The following is a 19885-nucleotide window of genomic DNA, read 5'->3' on the forward strand; positions in this document are numbered from 1 at the left end:
TTAAAGAAAGTTTACAAATTTGTGTTTGGCCACATTCAAAGCCATCCTGGACTGCATGCAGCCAGCAGGACATGAGTTGGACAAACGTGCTCCATATGCTTAAATTTTAGTAAGACAGCAGACCTTTCACTGCAAAAGAAAACTCTGCATGGTGGCTTAATTCCAGCACTTTTGGAGGCCAAGGAGGGTGGATCACATGAGGCCAGGGGTTTGAGACCAGCCTGTAATCCCAGCTACTTGGGAGGCTGAGGCACAAGAATCACTTGAACCTGGGAGGCGGAGGTTGCAGTGAGCCAAGATTGCGCCACTGCACTCCAGCCTGTGTGACAGAGTGAGACTCGTCTCAAAAAGAAAGAAAACAAAAAACAACAACAACAAAAAACTCTGTGAGGTTAACAGATGCATTCATTAACTTAACTGTATTAATCACTTCACAATGTTTACATATACAAAATCATTACACTTTACATAATAAATAGTTATATACTTTTAATTTGTGAAAAGTAACCACACGGTCCCCACACGTATATGTGTGGGTTTATTTGTGTGTATATGTATACACACCTCAACTAATATAGTTGAAGAATCTGGGAAAATAAAGTTTAAATTACCAATTTTAGTTCACACTAAAAATATAAAATGTAGAAATAAAATAACATTAGATTTTCTTATATTTAGGGAGATGCTTAGCATTATAACAAAATTACTGAGTAGGAATTTTTGTAGAATCACATTTGAAAATTCCATAAGGGGCTGGGCACGGTGGCTCACACCTGTAATCCCAGCACTTTGGGAGACCGAGGCGGGTGGATCACCTGAGGTCAGGAGTTCCAAATCAACCTGGCCAACATGGTGAAACCCCATCTCTACTAAAATACAAAAAGTAGCTGGGCATGGTGGTGTACGCCTGTAATACCAGCTACTTGGGTGGCTTAGGTGGGAGAATTGCTTGAACCCAGAAGGCAGAGGTTGCAGTGAGCCAAGATGGCGCCCTGCACTCCAGCCTGGGTGACAGAGTGAAACTCCGTCGCAAAAAAAAAAAAAAATTATTAAAAAAAAAAGAAAGAAAGAAACTTCATAAGAAATCATAAAGCAGAAAATACACCACATCTGTTTGTGGTGTTACTGGGATTTTGGAACCAAATACCGTTATCACGAATACTCTCACACATTTCAGACATAATACAAACAAAAACAAAACCCAAAACCAAAACAAAACAAAACAAAAACCTTAAAAAATAGTTTAAAGGCCGGGCATGGTGGCTCATGCCTGTAATCCCAGCACTTTGGGAGGCTGAGGTGGGTGGATCACCTGAGGTCGTGGGTTCAAGACCAGCCTCAACAACTTGGAGAAACCCCATCTCTACTAAAAATACAAAATTAGCTGGGCGTGGTGGCATACGTAATCCCAGCTACTCGGGAGGCTGAGGCAGGAGAATCGCTTGAACCCAGGAGGCAGAGGTTATGGTGAGCCAAGATTGAGCCATTGCACTCCAGCCTGGGCAACACGAGCGAAACTCTCTCTCTCAAAAAAAAGAAAAAAATAGTTTAACATAGAGTTCCTCAAAAATACACATATATTTCTGTGTGCCCCAAGACAATGAAAGGGCAGTCAGATAATAAAGTCTCTTATAAGCCATGAAGAGGACTTTGGCTCTCACTATAACCTCAAAGTAAGGTTACTTTTTAGAGAATTTAGGAGCATTAGACAGAAGATGCCTCTGTACAAGAGCAAGAATAAACAATCACGTTCCTCAAAAATCATCTCCATTGGAGCAGAGCTTCTCAAATAACTCTTGAAGTCTGTCTTCCTTCTTGGCCTTTGGAGCTTTCACCTGTGGCATGTGTTTCATTCATCCAACCTACCTGGGGGTTTGGCTATGGTCTCATGTCTCTTCACATTCCAGGGCTCCTGTCTTTGCTCCAGACGGCTAATCAGTTCTGGCTTAGAAACAGTAAGACCTGTTTTATTAGAAAAAAGTAATGTGATTCTTGCTGGGATTCTCCAATTACCAACCTAGTGTTGTGCTCTGTAGATAAGAGAGAATATTATAGATGATTCTAGAAAATTAATAATAAGGACAGGCGCGTTGGCTCATACCTGTAATCCCAACATTTTGGGAGGCTAAAGCAGGCACATCATGAGGTCAGGAGATCGAGACCATCCTGGCCAACATGGTGAAACCCCATCTCTACTAGAAATACAAAAATGAGCAAGGTGTGGTGGCACGTGCCTGTAATCCCAGCTGCTTGGGAGGCTGAGGGAGGAGAATCACTTGAACCCGGAGGCAAAGATTACAGTGAGCCAAGATTGCGCCACTGCACACTCCAGCCTGGCAACAGAGCGAGACTCCATCTCAAAAAAAAAGAAAGAAAAGAAAATTAGTAACAAAATAATATTTCTAAACAGAAAGTTTAGAATATTTTATATTTGTGGGTCTTTAGCTTCCCTACCCAATACTACTTAATCGAAAATTGGTGGTAGAAGTTGGATTTTAAGGTCTGGTCAATAATATTTTATAAAGGAATTTTTATAATGGAATTCCAAGAATTACCACTAAAGGCTGGGTAGGGTAGTTCACACTAGTAATCCCAACACTTCGGGAGGCCAAGGAGGGTGGATCACGTGAGGTCAGGAGTTCGAGACCAGCCTGGCCAACATAGTGAAACCTCCTCTTTACTAAAAATACAAAAATTAGCTGGCCGTGGTGGTGGGCACCTGTAGTCCCAGCTACTCAGGAGGCTAAGACAGGAGAATCACTTGAACCCAGGAGGTGGAGGTTGCAGTGAGCTGGATTGTACCACTGCACTCAAGCCTGGGCAACAGAGCTAGACTCTGTCTCAAAAAATAAAATAAAATAAAATAAAAAAATAGAATTACCACTAAACTAGAGTGAAAAATGCCCATCACCTCAAGGTAGAAGAAAGTTAATGTAAACATAAAACATCTTGAAAATTTTCTTCTCTATCCCAACAAATCCCCAAGTTTTCCTTGAAAGCAGAGATCTAAAACTCATTTATACAAAGCAGAAATCCCCACCAAACATTCTACAGAGGAAGAAAATAAAATCTTTTGTGTGAAATAGAAATTGTGTATTGAAGTTATTCTCACCCAGAGAGACCAGGTTTCTGTAGTTCTCTAGCATCACTTTCCTATACAAACTCTGCTGAGCAGGGTTCAGAAACTCCCACTCCTCCAGAGAGAATTCTATGGTCACATCCCTGAATGTCAACAGTTCCTGAAAAACAAAACAAAACATAGTGACCAACTGTCAATGGGCAGAGTTCTTGACTCCATGTGAAAAGAGAGAATTGCTGTGACTTATGAGAGTTACTGGAATTATTCAATCTGCTATTTTTAACAAATATATTCTCTGATGTATTCTCTAACACTGAGGAAAGAAAACAGAATCCATGTGGCCAGGTTCGGTGGCTCACGCCTGTAATCCCATCATTTTGGGAGGCCGAGGCAGGCAGATCACCTGAAGTCAGGAATTTGAGACCAGCCTGGCCAACATGGTGAAACCCTGTCTCTACTAGAAATACAAAAATTAGCTGGGTGTGGTGGTGCACGCCTGTAATCCCAGTTACTTGGGAGGCTGAGGGAGGAGAATCACTTGAACTCAGGAGGCAGAGGTTGCAGTGAGCTGAGATCATGCCATGGCACTCCTTGCCTGGGCGACAAACAAAAAGGAAAACAGAATCCACAAAACCAATGTAGATACTTTTCTAAATAATCACTATAAAATTAAGGGCATCAACACAGGCATATACAGTTTGAGTTTTATGTCTACAGATTATAGAATAAGTTGTAAATATTATTCATACAGAGAAGTCATGATGGGTTAGAAGGTATCTGTCAAATTTTAATGTACGTGACAATGAACTACAGATCTTGTTAAAATGCAGTCTGATCCAGGTGATCTCAGGTGAAGCCTGAGTTTCTGAATTTCTAAAAGCTAGCCAGTTGATACCAAGGCATCCGAATCAAGAATATTTTGTCAAACACAAAGTGGTTGAGCCCCAGTTTATCTGACTAGTAAACAAAGATGAGCCTTCATTTTCCAAAGCAAGCTTTAAGCAAAGAGAATCTAAAAAGAAAGGGAAGTTTGCAGATTAAATGTGATGGTTTATGTACATCAGTCAGTAAATCTCCCAAGGTACTTACGAATAATAAAGATAAAAATAATTAACTTTATAATTAAAAAAAATCTGTCACAGAGAGCCTTAACCAAGTGATTGAAATTAACATGAATTGGGCCAGGCGCGGTGGCTCACGCCTGTAATCCCAGCACTTTGGGAGGCCAAGGTGGGCAGATCACGAGGTCAGGAGATCGAGGCCATCCTGGCTAACATGGTGAAACTCCATCTTTACTAAAAATACAAAAAATTAGCTGGGCATGGTGGCACGTGCCTGTAATCCCAGCTACTCGGGAGGCAGAGGTAGCAGAATTGCTTGAATGTGGGAGGCGGAGATTGCAGTGAGCCAAGATTGTGACATTGCACTCAAACCTGTGCAACAGTGCGAGACTCCATCTCAAAAAAAAAGAAAAAAAAAAAAAGAAATTAACATGAACTACAATAGAACAAATTGATGTACAGTGTCAACACACATGGGCAGACAATCATCAGAGCTATGATATTATTGGCAACAAAAAGTAAATTATAACCTGAATCTAAGCATAAAGAAACATCTTTATGCAAAGTTCAAGCTACAGATATCTCCCAGGTTTTATAACCTCTAATAATGTATTTAAGTAGCCTTTCCTCAGCATTTGAAAGAGCAAGTCTTATCTAACTATTCTCTTTTCCAGAATATTCTGAGTTATTCTGGGCAATTAGTGACATCCTCTTTAAATGTGCATTTTTAAAATCCTGTTTCTGGCCAGGTGCTGTGGCTCACGCCTGTAATCCCAGCACTTTGGGAGGCTGAGGCGGGTGGATCACAAGGTCAGGAGATCGAGACCATCCTGGCTAACATGGTGAAATCCCATCTCTACTGAAAAATACAAAAAATTAGCCAGGTGTGGTGGTGGGCGCCTGTAGTCCCAGCTACTCGGGAGGCTGAGGCAGGAGAATGGCGTGAACCCAGGAGGTGGAGCTTGCAGTGAGCCGAGATCGCGCCACTGCACTCCAGCCTGGGCGACAGAGCGAGGCTCCGTCTCAAAAAAAAAACATCCTGTTTCTGCATAGAGCTGATGGAACATCCAGATGGAACCTAAACAATACACATTCCCCTCTTCACTAATATCTGAGGACCCTATACCATCCCTAATAGAGATCTTAGGTATCTACACCTTTCCACATTGATGTGACACAAAGAGAACTTTATTTATTTATTTATTTTTGAGACAGTCTCACTCTATCGCCCAGGCTGGAGTGCAGTGAGTGGCATGATCCCGGCTCACTGCAACCTCGCCTCCTGGGTTCAGGTGATTCTGCCTCAGCCTTCCAAGTAGCTGGACCACAGGCACGTGCCACCACACCTGGCTAATTTTTTGGGTTTTTAGTAGATACAGGGTTTTGCCAGGTGGCTCTGGCTGGTCTCAAACTCCTGGCCTCAAGCGATCCTCCTGCCTCAGCCTCCCAAAGTCCTGGGATTACAGGCATGAGCCACTGTGCCCAGTCACAAAGAGAACATTTTTATTCTTACAGGTCATACACTCGATGGTGAGAACTGGTCATGGTATGTAAGAAGCCTGGATACAAAGAATAAAGGAGAAGGCTCTGATATATAAAAGAGAAGTATTTTTCAGCGCCTCTTAACTACTATAGTAAGAAGTAATATTTATAAGAAGAAAAGGAGGAAAAAAAGTATCTAAAACAAACTGGTTAGGTAGGAACATCAGAAGTAGAGAAGTAAAAGTTTGTAAGTTCTAAAGCCAAGACATTCAAGAACGAAAAGAGAACATCACCCCTGAGCTGGGACACATTCACCTGAGAACCAGCCATTTCTTCCTCTTGCTCTTCCCTTTGGGATTCCTTCTCAGGTGATATTATCTGGAAAATCACATCTGTAACTTGAGCATACGCCTTTTAAAGCATCAGCAAAACCCCTTCACCTGCTACCACCGCACCCACAGGCAGATGTACCTTAAAGGCACAGAAAAGGCCACACTTGCTTGTCCTTTGTCATTGTCACAGGAGAATTTCAGGAACAGTGAGCTTCTACCTAAAGACTAAAATGTGAGTCTCCAGTTTCCTGCCTTTAGATGCCCTTCCATGCCAGAGATGGCAGCAATTTCTGCTGCAGCAAAGGGCCCATAGGGCCCCACTCCCCTGCTCCCATGAAAACCAAGCACAGCAGGCCCCATGACCTCTCTTTAAAACAAAGCCTGGGGGCTAGGCGCTATGGCTCATGCCTGTAATCCCAACACTCTGGGAGGCCAAGGCAGGCAGATCATCTGAGATCGGGAGTTTGTGACCAGGCTGACCAACATGGAGAAACCTTGTCTCTACTAAAAATACAAAATTAGCCGAGTGTGGTGGCGCATGCCTGTAATCCCAGCTACTTGGGAGGCTGAGGCAGGAGAATCACTTGAACCCAGGAGGCAGAGGTTGTGGTGAGCCGAGATCGCACCATTGCACTCCAGCCTGGGCAACAAGAGCGAAACTCCATCTAAAAAAACAAAAAAGAAAAACAAAAACAAAAAAAAAAAACAAAGCCTGGGGAGGCTGAGTCAGGAGAATCACTTGAGCCCAGGAGACAGAGGTTGCAGTGAGCCAAGATCGCGCCACTGCACTCCAGCCTGGGGCCTGGGTGACGGAGTGAGACTGTCTCACACACACAAAAAGGCTGAACTCAATTCTCACTTATGTCTGGGAGCCCTCATGATTGCCTCTGGCTTTATCTTACAATTACATGGGACACTTAATTAAAACAATATGGATGCTTCCACCCAGGCCAACATAATCCGTCGAGAGGACACAGGTAAGGGTATTTCTTCAAACTGGCCATTTAATCCTAACTAGAATGTGATGAGCTGACAATCACTTAGCTAAGAATTGCCTCTTAAACTTTAATATTCGGAGAAATCATCTGGTATTTCAAGCCCCAGACTAATTTGATTCTGCAGGTTTGTTTGTTTGAGACAGAGTCTTACTCTGTCGCCCAGGCTGGAGTGCACTGGCGTGATCTCGGCTCACTGCAATCTTTGCCTCCCAGGCTCAAGTGATTCTCCTGCCTCAGCCTCCCAAGTAGCTGAGACTACAGTCACATGCCACCATGCCCGGGTGGCTAATTTTTGTGTTTTTAGTAGAGATGGCCTTTCACGATATTGGCTAGGCTGGTCTTGAACTCCTGACCTCAGGTGATCCGCCCTTCTCAGCCTCCCAAAGTGCTGGGATTACAGGTGTGAGTCACCGTGCCCAGTCAATTCTGCAGGCTTGAAAGGAGTCCACGGATTGGCTTCATTCACAGCTAATGCTGACCCTGCTTGCCCTAGATCACTTATAACAGCACTCAACTAGACAAAGCGCCACAGCACACAGTCCCTTATACCTACACTCTTCTTAGAACACAAATGCTTTTGGTCCAAAATAAAAACCACCAATCACTATTCTAAAACATGGCGTTCTCTGTTGGTCCTTTAAAGTTTCCAGAGGCAGCTCATGTCTGAGTAAGTCTGCATTTGGAAAACAACACGCGCACATGCATTAATGCGATGTTTATGGAGCATGCGCTGTGTGCTCAGAAGCACACTATAGAGCATTGTGCTGGGAAGATGACATAATGTGAATTTATCCTCATAACACCCTGGGAGGTGGGTACTAACTGTCCCATAATTCCCTGGATTTATATGAAAAGCCCAGCATTTAAATTTCTTCTTGTTCTATCACTGATTTTTTTTTTTTTTTTGGAGATAGAGTCTTGCTGTGTTGCCCAGGCTGGAGGGCAGTGGCACGATCTTGGCTCACTGCAATTTCCACCTCCCCAGTTCAAGCAATTCTCCTGCCTCAGCCTCCTGAGTCACTGGGATTATAGGTGCCTGCCACCACGGCCAGCTAATTTTTCTATTTTTGGTAGAGATGGGGTTTCGCCATGTTGGCCAGGCTGGTCTCGAACTCCTGACCTCAGTTGATCTGCCTGCGCCCCGGCCTCCCAAAGTGCTGGGATTACAGACGTGAGTCACCGCACCCAGCCTTTCTTTTGTTTTCTTTTTTTTTTAAATGCATGGAATAGGCCAGGCACGGTGGCTCATGCCTGTAATTCCAGCACTTTGGGAAGCCAAGGCAGGTGGATCACCTGAGGTCAGGAGTTTGAGACCAGCCTGGCCAACATCGTGAAACCCCATCTCTACTAAAAATACAAAAATTAGCTGGGTGTGGTGGCACACACTTGTAGCCCCAGCTACTTGGGAGGCTGAGGTGGGAGAACTGCTTGAACTTGGGAGGCAGAGGTTGCAGCGAGCAGAAATCATACCACTGCACTCCAGCCTGGGTGACAGAGTGAGACCCTGTCTCAAAAAAAAAAAAAAAATTAAAAAAAATAAAAAAGCTTGAAATAAAAGCTGAAGATAGACACAAGAATGAAATACAGAACGGGAAAATTAAGTGTAGTTCAAAGGGATTTCTCAGCATTGGGTTTATATTTACTTTCTTGTGATTCCTGGAGCAACTGCTGGATATGCAGGAATAGAAAATGGTTTGCTAGGTGGTATGCCTCTAGAAACAGTGGTTTTAATTAAAAAAAAAAATTAAAGACCAAAAATATTTAGTTATTTGCTTCCATTTATCTGCTTTTGGGTTTGGAAGAATTGTGAACAACCACTCTGGAGAGGCAGCAGGAGCCAAACTCTGATCTCCTTTAATCAACTCTGTATGGAGATTCCAAGGTGGAGCCGGACCTGGATGAGGCCTCAGAAGAGGTGAAACGTGGGTAAGGCTGGGACAGGGAGAGGGCCCTAGGTAGAATTCTGATCTCCATGTCACTGGGGTATTTCCAATTCTGTGTTTTCTAAGCCTGCCCAAGAGAAACTTGACTCCCCAGGTTTGTGTGATTTTAATCTATTTCACCCAATTCCCTGTCTATTTTATAACATACAGTAACAAGGAATTTAACCAAAATGCATAGTGTTTTCTAGGACATGTATATTAGAAGCTAAATATTTAGTCTTCACAAGGTAAAAGCAATAGAAATAATAACTATAGGGCTGGGCGCGGTGGCTCATGCCTGTAATCCCAGTACTTTGGAAGACCGAGGTGGGTGGATCACCTAAGGTCAGGAGTTCGAGACCAGCCTGGCCAATATGGTGAAATCCCATATCTACTAAAAACACAGAAATTAGCCGGGCGTGGTGGTGCACGCCTGTAATCCCAGCTACTCAGGAGGCTGAGACAGGAGAAAATCACTAGAACCCGGTAGGCGAAGGTTGCAGTGAGCCAAGATTGCACCACTGCATTGCAACCTGGGCAACAGAGCGAGACTCCACCTCAAAAAATAGAAAAGAAAAAATAACTATAATAACAACTCTTCTGTTCATGAGTGGCCCTTCAGATGGTGACATCAGAGTTCCCAACATAAGGAAAGTGGCCCTAAATCCCCTGCACACGTCCCTTTTTTGTACTGACTCCATGGTGTGAAATTCAGCCATTTATTCATTTGCCACAGACACAGTTCCTGGATTGCAGAGATTATGATTGCCTCATCTGTTTTTCTAATCGCCATATGAAATGAAAGTAATTGGTTGATCAGTCTCCAGCTCTCCTTTTTTTTCACCCAAGTGAAAACTGGAACAACTCCCATCTAGGAACCAACCAAAGAGATTATTTTTGTGAGAAAGAGAAGAAACACTGAATGACTTATTCCCCTCCCTCTTAGATGGTAGCAGAATTAGACCCTCTTGTCAGCCTCACCCCAGTCTGCACACAACAACCTCAAATGTCTCAAAGACTCTCAGGTGCTGGGAAGAGGGTCTACAGTCACTCTGGGTTGATGTCCTCATGGCAATCCAAACAGGAAACACTGAGACTGATTCTGTGGGAACAGAATAGACAATAGAACTTCCCTGGTAGAGCTTCAGATCCTAAACCCATATGTGATATCACCTGTCCTTAATCAGTTAGCTTGGGTAAGAGGAATGACAGGAATATTTTATTCCAGTATCACAGCTTACAGGTAGGTGTGGTTGTTATGGTCATGGCTGTAGATATTTTGTGGCCTGGACCCCCCACTGCTGGGGTGATTCTGCCATCAGATTCTATTTACACCAAGAGCCTCTCACACAACTGCAGCAGGTCAGAGGACAAGATCTGGAAATTTTCAAGGACCACACTTTGAAGGGTGGGGCTCTAAAATGTCGATGTTGACCTGTCACGATGCAGAAAATGTTTCCTATGGGCTTTCTGTACATTCTCAATCCAAAGTCAGGTCCTGTCTCATGAGTCCCAGAAGCCAGTGCTTATATGCAGATTCTAGTGACATCAACCTGGCTGTGCATTATTGGGTGTTATAGCATGCTGCGCAAAACCAGAGGAGAGATCCAGTCATGGAGACTGCTCTAACACATTATAAATGATATGTCGGCCGGGCACGGTGGCTCACCCCTGTAATCCCAGCACTGTGGGAGGCCGAGGTGGGCGGATCACGAGGTCAGGAGATCAAGACCATCCTGGCTAATACAGTGAAACCCCATCTCTACTAAAAATACAAAAAATTAGCCAGGCGAGGTGGCGGGTGCCTGTAGTCCCAGCTACTCGGGAGGCTGAGGCAAGAGAATGGCTAAAAAAAGGGGAATAGAAAAGTGGGCCGATAAAAAGTTCTTTGTCAAGGATTCTCATTAGTTTACAGGAATAACATTGATTAGTGATTGGCCATACAGGGTTAAGCTAGAAGGTGTGGGCTATAGTGTCCTGTGTGGCATTATTAGATTAATTTATAGCTATGTGTGGCAGTAACAAGCAGTTTCAAGAGGTGAATACATTGCTCAAAGGAGAAGTAGGACATAATTCTGGATTCATTTTAATGTCTCTCTGAGCCTGATAACTAACAGAACTTGCATCCCTCAGATAAAAGTTCTTTTACTTTCTCAAATCCCAGGGCCTGGATTCAAATTTGGGGGTTTCAGATTTAGGTTGCAGAGGTATGGGAAAGTAGCAGGTGCCCTTTGCACATTCTCAGGCATTTGTACAGGAGGAGGAAAAGAACATTTTAAATTCTTAGGTCTAATCAATGCATATGTGTAACCCTGACAGGGTTTGTCTCTGAATTCATTTCAGATTTGAAGATGCCAGGGACATTGAAAGAGGTGGAATGGTTGGTTGCTGCCCTGTAAGGTTATTTTTGTAGAAATCTGATCTGACTGCTCTACAAGGGACTATAGATCACAAATAGGCAGAGAGACCATTTTGCCTGCAATTTGGGGTTTGCACAATTGTGGGTTGTGACTTGAAGCCCAAGAGGGAAAGACCCTCTAGGGTGAAGTCTGATGGGTACCTTACATGTTTATATCATACCTGGTCATTTCAGACAGTGTTTTCAAAAATGTAATTAAAAGCACAATCATCTCCAACCCCAGAAAAACTCTCCACAATGGCAGAACACAAAGCAAAAACCATATGATTACACAATTAAGCCAGAATGTGACATTAATTGCAGGCAATTTGCTAAGAGATTGCAAAGATAGAAAGAAGGTTGTCATAATTAGTCCTCAAGAAGACCACGTGACAGCACTCACTTGTCGTAGATAGTTTATCCTAAACCCACCTGGGAATTGGGGAGGTCAGTTGATTATATTCTATGAAAGATAAACTTCCCACATCTTCATGACAGGAGGTAGTTTTGCAACTTGGAGCCAAATTCAGGTACTTGCTGAAGGTAGGGTTTTACTTCTCTGTAGAAACTGTGGTGCCAGGTGCGGTGGCTCACTACTGTAATCCCAGCACTTTGGGAGGCCGAGGTGGGCAGATCACCTGAGATCAGGAGTTCGAGACAAGCCTGGCCAACGTGGTGAAACCCCGCCTTTACTAAAAATACAAAAAATTAGCCAGGCGTTGTGGTGGGCACCTGTAATCTCAGCTACTTGGGAGGCTGAGGCAGAGGCAGGAGAATCACTTGAACCTGGGAGGTGGAGGTTGCGGTGAGCCGAGATCACACCACTGCACTCCAGCCTGGGTGACAGAGGGAGACTCCGTCTCAAAAAAACAAAAAAGAAACTGTGGAAGAGGGATCTATGTTCTTGGCTATTTATATATTAAATCAATGGTTCCTGACTCAGAGTACTGGGCCATGGTGCTTCTGCCCATGAAGCTTAGCCTACAGCCTGCAGCCCACACAGACCCTCACTGCTGCATCTGCGCTCCAGCACCATGCCACAGAGCAGAGCCCTGGGCTGCAGGAGGAGGGCCTGGAGCACTCCTGGTTAGAATTGTATTTTCACAATAATGGAAATGAAAGTGGTGTTCCAGCCTAAGTTTCTGGGGTTCTCTTCTTTTTGAGATGGAGTCTCGCTCTGTCACCCAGGCTAAAGTGCAGTGACGTGATCTCGGCTCACTGCAACCTCCGCCTCCCAGGTTCAAGTGATTCTCCTCCCTCAGCCTCTCGAGTAGCTGGGACTACAGGCGTCCATCACCACGCCTGGCTAATTTTATGTATTTTTAGTAGAGACAGGGTTTTGCCATGTTGGTCAGACTAGTCTCAAACTCCTGACCTCAAGTGATCCTCCTGCCTTGGCCTCCCAAAGTGCTGGGATTACAGGCATGAGCCACCACGCCCGGCCTCCAGCCTCAGTTTCTACTGACAACGATGACATGGAAAAAGTACTACTGGATGCCCAGCAAGAAGTCTGGATGGAGTTGCTCCACGAGTTGTCACCGTGACAGCCCACCTCACTCACAGACACAAGGAACCAACAGAGCTTCTGAAACACCCAAGGCATTGGAGAGAAAAACAGTTATTAGTCTGTGGAAGATTATATTGACAGAAAGAAAGAAATTGAAAGCATATTGAAGGAATACTCAGATTAGATATGGGATTGGTTAAGTGAGCAAGAAAAAATTCCCCCCAATGTTTCTCTTTAAAGAACCAAAGTGCACAGCTACTCTCAGCATGAGAAACACACGCATTCTGAAGAACAGATACATATTCTATCCAGAATTTCTAGAGGTTTTTCTTCCATCTTTGCTGCTGTCTCATCTGCTGGCCATTGGACTAGGGATTTATATTGGAAGCCATCTAACAACATCCACCAGCATCTTTTGATGAGGAATAGGAAACCAACGTTGTTCACATATTGGAATTATATCTGAGCTTGCGGCATAGCTAACTGAAGAGCTATTATATCCGTGGGTGGGTGACTGCATCCGTTGCATTTATTAGTTCTGTAAATGCCGCATGCCTAAGTTAGTAAAATGAAAAAATAGGGCCAGGCGCGGTGACTCACGCCTGTAATCCCAACACTTTAAGAGACCGAGGCGGACGGATCACCTGAGGTTGGGAGTTCGAGACCAGCCTGACCAACATGGTGAAACCACCTCTCTACTAAAAAAATTAGCCGGGCTTGGTGGCGCATGCCTGTAATCCTAGCTACTCAGGAAGCTGAGGCAGGAGAATCACTTGAACCTGGGAGGCAGAGGTTGCGGTGAGCCAAGATTGCGCCATTGCACTCCAGTCTGGGGCAACAAGAGCAAAACTCCATCTCAAAAAAAAAAAAAAGAAAAAAGAAAGAAAAGAAAAAATAAGGTCAGGCCCGGTGGCTCATGCCTGTAATCCAAGCACTTTGGGAGGCTGAGGCGGGCAGATAGCCTCAGGTCCAAAGTTCGAGACCAGCCTGGCCAGCATGGCGAAACCCCGTCTCTACTAAAATCCAAAAACCAGCCGGGCATGTTGGTGCGTGCCTGTAATCCCAGCTACTCAGGAGGCTGAGGTATGAGAATATCGCTTGAACCTGGGAGGCACAGGTTGCAATGAGTGGAGATCATGCCACTGCACTCCACCCTAAGCAACAGGCTGAAATTCTGTCTCAAATACATATATACATATAGACACTAAAATCATGCTGACCTATAATCATACCTGTTGGATTAATTAATAAGCATATTAATTGATGTGACAGAGGTGGGGTTAATATCTATTGTAACAATTTGTTACTATATTTTTTCCTTTTTTTGAGACGGAGTTTTGCTCTTGTTGCCACGGCTGGAGTGCAGTGGCATGATCTTGGCTTACTGCAACCTCTGTCTTCCTGTTTCAAGCAATTCTCCTGCCTCAGGCTCCCGAGTAGCTGAGATTACAGGCGCCCACCACCACGCCAAGCAAATTTTTGTATTTTTAGTAGACACATGGTTTCACCATGGTGGCCAGGCTGGTCTCGAACTCCTGACCTCGTGATCCACCCACCTCAGCCTCCTAAATTCCTGGGATTACAGGTGTGAGCCACCGCACCTGGCCTATTTTCTTTTGATATAAGATATAAATATCTTAGGATAAACAATTTTAACATATTAGTCATAACGTATGTAGTATTAGAAAATTATCTGTAATATTAATTCAGTTAAAATAATTTATATTTCAAAAGAATACAGAATATCAAAATCATTATTTTAAAGCAGTTTGTCCAAAATAAATATTGTGCTGTTATATTCACTATTGTACAAAATACTGTTTGTTTGTTTTTTTTTGAGATGGAGTCTCACTCTCTTGCCCAGGCTGGAGTGCAGTAGTGTGATCCTGGCTCACTGCAACCTCTGCCTCCCAGGTTCAGGCAATTCTCCTGCCTCAGCCTACCAAGTAGCAGGGATTACAGGCGTTCACCACCACACCCAACTAATTTTTGTATTTTTAGTAGAAACGAAGTCTCACTATGTTGGCCAGGCTGGTCTTGAACTCCTGACCTCAGGTGATCCTCCCACCTCAGCCTCCCAAAGTGCTGGGATTACAGGTGTGAACCACTGCACCCAGCCGAAAAAATACTCTTTAATTTAAATGGATGCAGTTTGTCTACACAAGAGTACATATAACTATGCCAACTGTTCTTAAAATATAAATAGAAACCAAGGTACAGAGCGTACTCTGAGCTGGTCTTGCTATCGCAGCATAAGCCCTTCAGCCTGCACATATTAGTAATTACCTTGGAGCAGCAGTTTTCTATTGAAAACACCTATCGTTTTTATCTCTCCAGATACTGAAGAGATACCCTTCTGTATCTGTGACCCTTTAGCTTTCTGGATTGCTGAATTAAATCCTATCCTTCGTGTTTTCTGAGACAAAGTTTTGCTCCTATTGCCCAGGCTGGAGTGAAGTGGGCAGATCACCTGAGGTCAGGAGTTCAGGACCAGCCTGGCCAACATGGTGGAACCCTGTCTCTACTAAAAATACAAAAAATTAGCCAGGTGTGGTGACGGGCACCTGTAAACCCAGCTACTCGGGAGGCTGAGGCAGGAGAATTGCTTGAACCCAGGAGGCAGAGGTTACAGTGAGCCGAGATTGTGCCACTGCACTCCAGCCTGGACAACAAGAGTGAAACTCCATCTCAAAAAAAAAAAAAAAAAAAAAAAGATTTACATATATTTTGAAGAAGCAGAGAAAAAAGGTACATATAAAAGTTTTCTAGGCCGGGCATGGTGGCTCATGCCTGTAATCCCAGCATTTTGGAAGGCCAAGGCAGGAGGATCTCTTAAGGCCAGGTGTTCGACACCAGTTCCGGGAACATGGTGAGATGCTGTCTCTATAAAAAAAAAAGAAAAAAAAAAAAAAAAAAAAATTAGCTAGGCAAGTTGGTGCATGCCTATAGTCCTAGGTAACTGGGAGGCTGAGGTAGCAAGACTGCTTAAGCCCAAGAGTTCAAGGTTATAGTGAGCTATGATCATGCCATTGTACTCTAGCCTAAGTGAAAGAGTGAGACTCTGTCTCAAAAAAATCAATCAATCAATAATAAAAGTTTTCTAAATTCTATCCTTCAGGAAAAGGCAAAAGAACAAAATGTCTTCCCTCATTTTCAAGTGGGGGAATGAAGCCCCTTATTTCTAATTTGTATTTGCTTCTGCAAAAGGTAGGTCTAGGCCCATGGTCTTGAACTACTGGACATCTGACAACTGAGGGGTGGCGTTGGGCACACTGTGTGCACATAAAAAAAGGGTTTGTGGGGGAACTAAAAGGCAAACGAGGGAAAGTTGCTATCTAGAAGCCATGGGTGGGACAGTGCAGGGTTACGGAAGGACTGGTTCATGCTATAGATTGTGTCCCAGGAGAGGCTATGCTCTGACTTCTTCCTGTGTCCATGCAGGCAGATGAGACTATAATCAGGTGGCACAGAAGCCTGGGTTGGTGAAAAAACCAGGTTGCCAGTACAGACTACCTTTCAAGCTCTACTGATAATTTACACTTAATTAAAAACTGAAGTTAAAATAAGCAAAGAAATCTTTCCAAGGTGACAAACTCAGGAAGCGGCAATACTGATTGGAACACAGACATATCTGACTCAGATGTCAAGTCAAGCCATTCTATCATTTGGGACATTTTCCCGCCCCATCCTGCTCACTGAAGTGGACAATAACCATTCTACCAAGAGCCACTGTGCTGTGCCCCACTGTGTCCCTTAGATGCATTTTGCTTTGCAGGTTTTTGCACTGCCTCACTGGGTTGGGTGTTCCTTGTCCTTGGGGATATTTTTTTTCTCTCTTCACCAATCTGAGAAAATTTTCTCCTCAATACTAGCATCCAAATTGCCTGGCCAGCACTGTATCTCTAAGAAATGGAAACTGGGAGTTGGGGAAGAAAATCTTAATGTCCTAATGGATTTGCTTTCAGAGGAAAGGTATACCTGATTTCTCCCAGGCACAATGCACCAACCACTCCACAGAGAGGCCACATTCCCATACCTGGCAGGGTTGCCCCTGAGAGGAGATGGCCCAGGGGCTGATATTCACTAGACACCTCAGGAGACACAGCCACTGTGGGCATCTCATGTCATCCCCAGACAGTTCTGAAACTCAAAACCAGGAAAATAACACAGGGTGGCTGAGGATGCATTGCCCTGTGAAGTTTCCAAAGTGGAACCTCAACCCAAAAACATTCTGATAAGGTGTCTGTGCCTAGGAAAGATTAAAGGGAGATTGGCACAAAGGTTTTTGTTTTTTGGTCTTTTTTTTTTTCATGGTGGAGTGTTGGGATTATTCTCTGCTTTCATCTCCTGTAAAATGTTTGCAAATGAAAAACAATTCTTTTTCTAAAAAGTGCCATCCGCTGCTCTTTGAAATAATGATCAATCAAAATACTGTGTCTGAAATGTACAAAAAAGGACTAATAGTTGATAATGTTGTGAATTAGAGAGGGGAAGTTGGTGTTGAAGAATGTCAGGAAAGAACTGAAAATTTAAAATTCAACTGCAAGTCAGAGTTAGGCTGGGGCAACAGAGTGGTAGCTTTGAGATTCTGTTTGTCACACATTTGGAAAATCCAAGAGAAAACCACTTCTGTGGAGTGTTAAATAAATAGCAGGCAGTTAGACTGAGGTGGCTCTAGTACCCTGAGTTCCTACATTAAAAAAAAAAAAAATCAAAGGCAAATACATTTCTTGTAAATTGCTACCTTAGGGGGAAACAAAATTCAGATTTTTCAGATTTAAGCAACCACAAACCTTCAATTAACTTCTGATTACATAACCAGGCAATGACAACCTGAATAGTCTAAATAAGATGACTACATAACTGGAACGAGTCAGTTACTGAATTCGGTTTGCTTCATCCTGCACTTTATAAAAAACTTTCCTTCAAGCTCTTCGGCTGGACCCCCAACCACAAACCGTGGCTGGGTGCTCTCTGAGCATAAATCACTGTTAACTTCAATAAGTTTTCAACATTTTAAAGGTGACTCCCATAGTTTTTAAACAGGAGAAGGAAAAGACTGAGGACCCCCGGGATCACAGCACTTCCCACGCACAAACCACACACGGGGTCTGGACTCTGCCCTGAGGACGCTTCCATTGTCCCCGCAGTCGGGGCAGACGCAAGAACGCGCGCGGCTCTTCCCAGGGTGGGCTCCGGGCGGGAAGCGGGAGAACGGAACGGGATGCCCGCCCAGGGTCCCGGCTGCTGGCCCACCTCGCATCCTGTGCCCGGAGGTGATCGACGGCCGAGCTGTGCCTGCCGGGGACTCCAGTCCGCAGACTCCGGAGCTGACAGCTGGGAGGCCCCAGTCCCGTCACTGCCGGTTCCGGCCGGTTTCAACCAGCCCTGCCCCCACCTCGGGATGCGCGGCCTGGCACACTCACCATTTTTCGGCTTCCGGGATGTCGTGGAGTCTTAGCTCTGGATCTCACAGCATCTGCAAGTCAGAGGGCAACAGAGGCTGCGACAGTCACCGGGAACTACTAGAGCAGAGGATACTAAGCAATGAAGATGGACCCTGAGCTCTGGCTGGAGCGAGACAAAGGCCCCGCCAGCTCCAGGACACCGCCCCCTCTACCTTGGCTGCGCACCTGATTGGACAGTTCCCACTCTAGCGCCCATGATTGGATACAGTTCCATGCCCCGCCCCCTCAGGTCATGAGTGACAGGAGGCGTGATCTGAGAATGTGTTGAATAAGGCAAGAGTTACAGGTTTTTCCTGAACCCTTTTCTGGCGCGCTTCCTTCCTGAATTGGAAACTGGCCCTTCCTGGGGAACATTTGCATTTAACTTTGTATATAAAGTTATCTTTATTTGTGAATAGTATACATATGTTATTCACAAATGGAAACAATATAATGACAATTATTTTAAAATCTCAGATTTCATCATTTTCCTAGCCTCCAGTCTTTTGAGCAGGCAGCCTAAGATGTCGCAAGGGAGGCAATTCTCTAAGAAATAAACTGTGAAGCACATATGAATTTTACATTTTCTAGTAGCCACATTTTAAAAAAGAAACCAGGCGTGGTAGCCTGTGCCTGTAGTTCTAGCAACTAGGGAGGCTGAGGCGGGAGCATCACTTGAGGCCAGGAGTTTTAAGACCAGCCCGGGCAACATAGCGATGATCCCATCTCTACAAAAAATAATTAAAAATTTAGCCAAGTCTGGTGGTGCACGCCTGCAGTCCTAGCTACTCAGAAGGCTGAGGCGGGAGGATCACTTGACCCTGGGAGACCAAGACTGCAGTGAGCCACGATCACACCATTGCACTACAGCCGGGGTGACAGAGTGAAACCAAGTTTAAAAAAAAAAAGATCTCTGAAGAAGGCATTTTCTCTTTCTGCAATTTAGCCAAGCAGCTGAGTATGTCTTGAAGTCATCTTCTAATTTTTAACAGGGCAAGGATGTTTTCTAAAACCCCAGTCTCCAGAGTTGCCATGGGGCAAATCCCGGCAGCATACATGAAAATCACTCACAGCTAATGCATTCTTCATCAGATCCAGTGCTTCTTACCCCTGGCAAATAAAAATCACCTGCGGGGTTGGGAGCGGTGGTTCACGCCTATAATCTCAGCATTTTGGGAGGCCGAGACGGGCGTATCACCTGAGGTCAGGAGTTCGAGACCAGCCTGGCCAACATGGTGAAACCCCCATCTCTACTAAAAATACAAAAATTAGCCGGGCATGGTGGCACACGCCTGTAATCCCAGCTACTCGGGAGGCTGAGGCAGGAGAATGGCTTGAACGTGGGAGGCGGAGGTTGCAGTGAGTCGAGATCGCGCCATTGCAGAGTGAGACTTCGTGGGGAGGGTGGTGGTGGCGGCGGGGGGTGTGGAGAATGACTGGAGGGGCGGGGCAGGATGTAAACTTAAAATCCCTGAAGCCCAAGTTGCAACAGACCAATTAAATTAGAATCCTTGGAGTTGGATCTGGGCAACAATATGGTTTAAAGCTCTCAGGGTGATTACAGTGTGTAGCCAAGTACCCAAACTACTGCTTTTCACCAACAGCTTTTTCTTTTTTTTTTTTGAGATAGAGTTTTGCTCTTTTTGCCCATCCTGGAGT

At 44.5% G+C, this 19885-nt stretch overlaps 1 protein-coding gene, 1 long non-coding RNA gene and 1 pseudogene across 7 annotated transcripts in view, besides 1 other annotated feature; 1 reads left to right on the forward strand and 2 right to left on the reverse strand.

The window, feature by feature from the left end:
- ZNF682 (zinc finger protein 682) overlaps positions 1 to 18368 on the reverse strand; it is a 44375-nt gene extending 26007 nt beyond the window's left edge. For 2 of the 6 annotated variants that reach the window (XM_047439657.1, XM_047439658.1), the window contains exon 1: positions 1867 to 1942. Coding sequence is in view for 3 of the 6 variants with exons in the window: in XM_047439655.1 (XP_047295611.1) it covers positions 1867 to 1962; positions 3113 to 3239; positions 5938 to 5952 (238 nt within the window). In the remaining 3 variants the exon portion in view is untranslated. Of the gene's footprint in view, positions 1 to 1866; positions 1963 to 3112; positions 3240 to 5937; positions 7879 to 18035; positions 18119 to 18205 lie in introns of those variants that run through there. The other 4 variants (XM_047439655.1, XR_007067033.1, NM_033196.3 and 1 more) reach the window with 4 other exon arrangements.
- On the reverse strand, positions 9580 to 12494 carry LOC105372308 (uncharacterized). Its single transcript, XR_001754062.2, has 2 exons — positions 11705 to 12494; positions 9580 to 9976 (listed from the first exon to the last, which is right to left on the reverse strand). It is a non-coding gene; the product is annotated as an uncharacterized LOC105372308 (long non-coding RNA).
- Positions 12668 to 13240, forward strand: LOC101928960 (BCL2/adenovirus E1B 19 kDa protein-interacting protein 3-like; annotated as a pseudogene).
- Positions 18138 to 18714: an enhancer, noted in NCBI's record as "H3K27ac hESC enhancer chr19:20150084-20150660 (GRCh37/hg19 assembly coordinates)". NCBI's record gives its function as "activates a minimal SCP1, AML or CMV promoter by ChIP-STARR-seq in naive H9 embryonic stem cells {active_cell/tissue: H9 hESC(naive)}" and the evidence as "EXISTENCE:reporter gene assay evidence [ECO:0000049][PMID:30033119]".

The sequence above is a fragment of the Homo sapiens genome, chromosome 19 (assembly GCF_000001405.40).
Source record: "Homo sapiens chromosome 19, GRCh38.p14 Primary Assembly".
In the NCBI taxonomy this organism is placed as follows: domain Eukaryota; kingdom Metazoa; phylum Chordata; class Mammalia; order Primates; family Hominidae; genus Homo; species Homo sapiens.